Raw genomic sequence first — 2,753 nt, 5'->3', positions numbered from 1 at the left:
TCTTGGCTACTTACCCATTTAAAAATGCTGTTTTGTGCTTCATTTAATAGAGTTCTGGGGGAAAGGAGGCCATTTGAATTGAGTAGTTGTAATGCCTCTGCCATGATCTGAATGTTTGTATTTCTCCAAAATTCATAAGTTGAAACCTAATCTCTATGCAATAGAGTAAGAGGTGGAGCATTTGAGAGGTGACTAAGGTAATGAATGAGATTATTGCCCTTATAAAAGAGGCTTAATGGAGCCCTTTTGCCTTTCTGCCATGTGAGGACACATAGAAGGACCATCATTGAGGAACAGACCCTCACCAGACACCAAATCTTCAGGCATCTTGATCTTGAACATATCAGCCTCCAGAACTGTAAGCAATAAACTTCTGTTGTTTATAAATTACCCAGTCTAAGATATTTTGTTATAGCAGCCTGAATGGACTAAGATAGTCTCTCCTGTTGTAAACATCCACTTGCTGTTTGTTGTTTTTGTTTTAGTTCTTGCTATAAAGTTCTTACTTCATATCTTCAGTCAATACAAAGGTACTATTTCAGATCTCGCTCTTGTTTTATGATTACTGTAGGTCAGGACAGCCGTGTGCAAAAATATCTTGCATTTCATAATGGTTGAACTTCCTTGTAGAAGCCAAACTGACAAAAGGGGCAGCTAATCCCAAAGAATGTCACAGTTTGCTGATGTGGAATCTATCATTGGAACTAGTAACATCTATTCATAGCAGTCCCATGGGTGACATTACATTTGTGTTTGGGAGATTGCATAAGAAGAAGTCACTTACTGTTCTTCTGGAGCTGAGAAAACTCCAGGTCAAATTCAGCTTCAGTAAAATTTTCATTTATTCCAAAATATAATTGTACCTGCTTGAGATAATAGAATCTGACATACTAGAGCCAGGTATGAAGAGTGGAGATTTGAGTGGTGATATGGTTTGGCAATGTCCCCACCCAAATCTTATTTCAAAGTATAGTTCCCATAATCCCCCTATGTCGTGGGAGGGACCTGGTGGGGGGTAGTTGAATTACGGGGGCATTTACCCTCATGCTGTTCTCATGATCGTGGGTGAGTTCTCATGAGATCTGATTATTTTAGAAGGGGCTTTTCCCCATTTTGCTTGGCACTTCTTCCTGATGTCATGTCAAGAAGGACATACTTGCTTCCCCTTCTGCCATGATTGTAAGTTTCCTGAGGCCTCTCCAGCCATCCTGAACTGAGTCAATTAAACCTCTTTCCTTTATAAATTACCCAGTCTCAGGTATGTCTTTATTAGCAGCATGAGAATGGAGTAATACTGTAAATTGGTACCAGGGGTAGGATGCTGCTGTAAAGATACCCAAAAATGTGGAAGCAACTTTGGAATTGGCTGACAGGCAGAGGTTGGAACAGTTTGGAGGACTCAGAAGACAGGAAAATCTGGGACAGTTTGGAACTTCCTGAAGACTTGTTGAATGGCTTTGACCAAAGTGCTGATAGTGATATGGAAAACAAAGTGCAGGCTGAGGTGGTCTCAGATGGACACGGGGAACTTGTTGGGAACTGGGGCAAAGGTGACTCTTGTTATGCTTTAGCAAAGAGATTGGCAGCATTCGCCCCTGCTCTAGAGATCTGTGGAACTCTGAATTTGAGAGAGATGATTTAGGGTATCTGGCAGAAGAAATTTCTAAGTGGCAAAGTGTTTTGAACAAAGCAGAGCATAAACAAATCAGAGAAAACTGCTTTGACAAAGCAAAGCATAAAAGTTTGGAAAATCTGCAGCCTGACAATGAGATAGAAAAGAAAACCCCATTTTCTGGGGAGAAATTCAAGCTGGCTGCAGAAATTTGCATAAGTCATGAGGAATTGAATGTTCACCACCTAGACAATGGGGAAATTGTCTCCAAGGCATGTCAGAGACCTTTAGGGCAGCCTCTGCCATCACAGGCCTGGAGGCCTAGGAGGGAAAAATGGTTTCCTGGGCTGAATCCAGTGCCCCTCAGCTATGTGCAGCCTCAGGACTTGGTGCCCTGCATCCCAGCTGCTCCAGCCATTACCAATGTACAGCTCAGACCATTGTTTCAGAGGGTACAAGCCCCAAGCCTTGGCAGCTTCCACGTGGTGTTGGGCCTCCGTGTGCACAGAAGTCAAGAATTGAGGTTTGGGAACCTCCATCTAGATTTCAGAGGATGTATAGAAACACTTGGAAGTCCAAGCAGAAGTTCACTTCAGGGATGGAGCCCTCATGGAGAACCTCTGCTAAGGTACTGCAGACAGGAAATGTGGGGTTGTAGCCCCACGCAGAGCCCCCACTGGGGCACTACCTAGTGGATCTGTGAGAAGAGGGCCACCAGACTCCAGAATGATAGATCCACTGACAGCTTGCACTGTGTGCCTAGAAAAGCCACAGACACTCAATGCTAGCCATGAAAGCAGCTTGGAGGAGGGCTTTACCCTGCAAAGCCACAGGAGCAGAACTGCCCAAGGCCATGGGAGCCCACCTTTTGCATCAGCATAACCTAGATGTGAGACATGGAGTTAAAGGAGATCATTTTGGAACTTTAAGGTTTAATGACTGCCCTATTGGATTTTAGACTTGCATAGGGCCTGTAGCCCCTTTGTTTTGGCCAATTTCTGCCATCTGGAATGGGTGTATGTACCCAATGCCTGTGCGCGCATTGTATCTAAGAAGTAACTAACTTGCTTTTGTTTTTACAGGCTCATAGGCAGAAGGGACTTGCCTTGTCTCAGATGAGACTTGGACTTCATTTGGACTT

The 2,753-nt window shown here is 43.8% G+C and overlaps 1 annotated feature.

Annotated features, from left to right (window-relative positions):
* Window positions 2,153–2,325: a silencer, noted in NCBI's record as "fragment chr1:231634962-231635134 (GRCh37/hg19 assembly coordinates)". NCBI's record gives its function as "represses an EF-1alpha promoter that drives an FKBP-Casp9 reporter gene in an ReSE screen in HepG2 liver carcinoma cells {active_cell/tissue: HepG2}" and the evidence as "EXISTENCE:reporter gene assay evidence [ECO:0000049][PMID:32094911]".

The sequence above is a fragment of the Homo sapiens genome, chromosome 1 (assembly GCF_000001405.40).
Source record: "Homo sapiens chromosome 1, GRCh38.p14 Primary Assembly".
In the NCBI taxonomy this organism is placed as follows: Eukaryota; Metazoa; Chordata; class Mammalia; order Primates; family Hominidae; genus Homo; species Homo sapiens.
The sequence above is the reverse complement of the archived record's forward strand: the minus strand, read 5'-3'. Positions and strand labels throughout refer to the sequence as shown.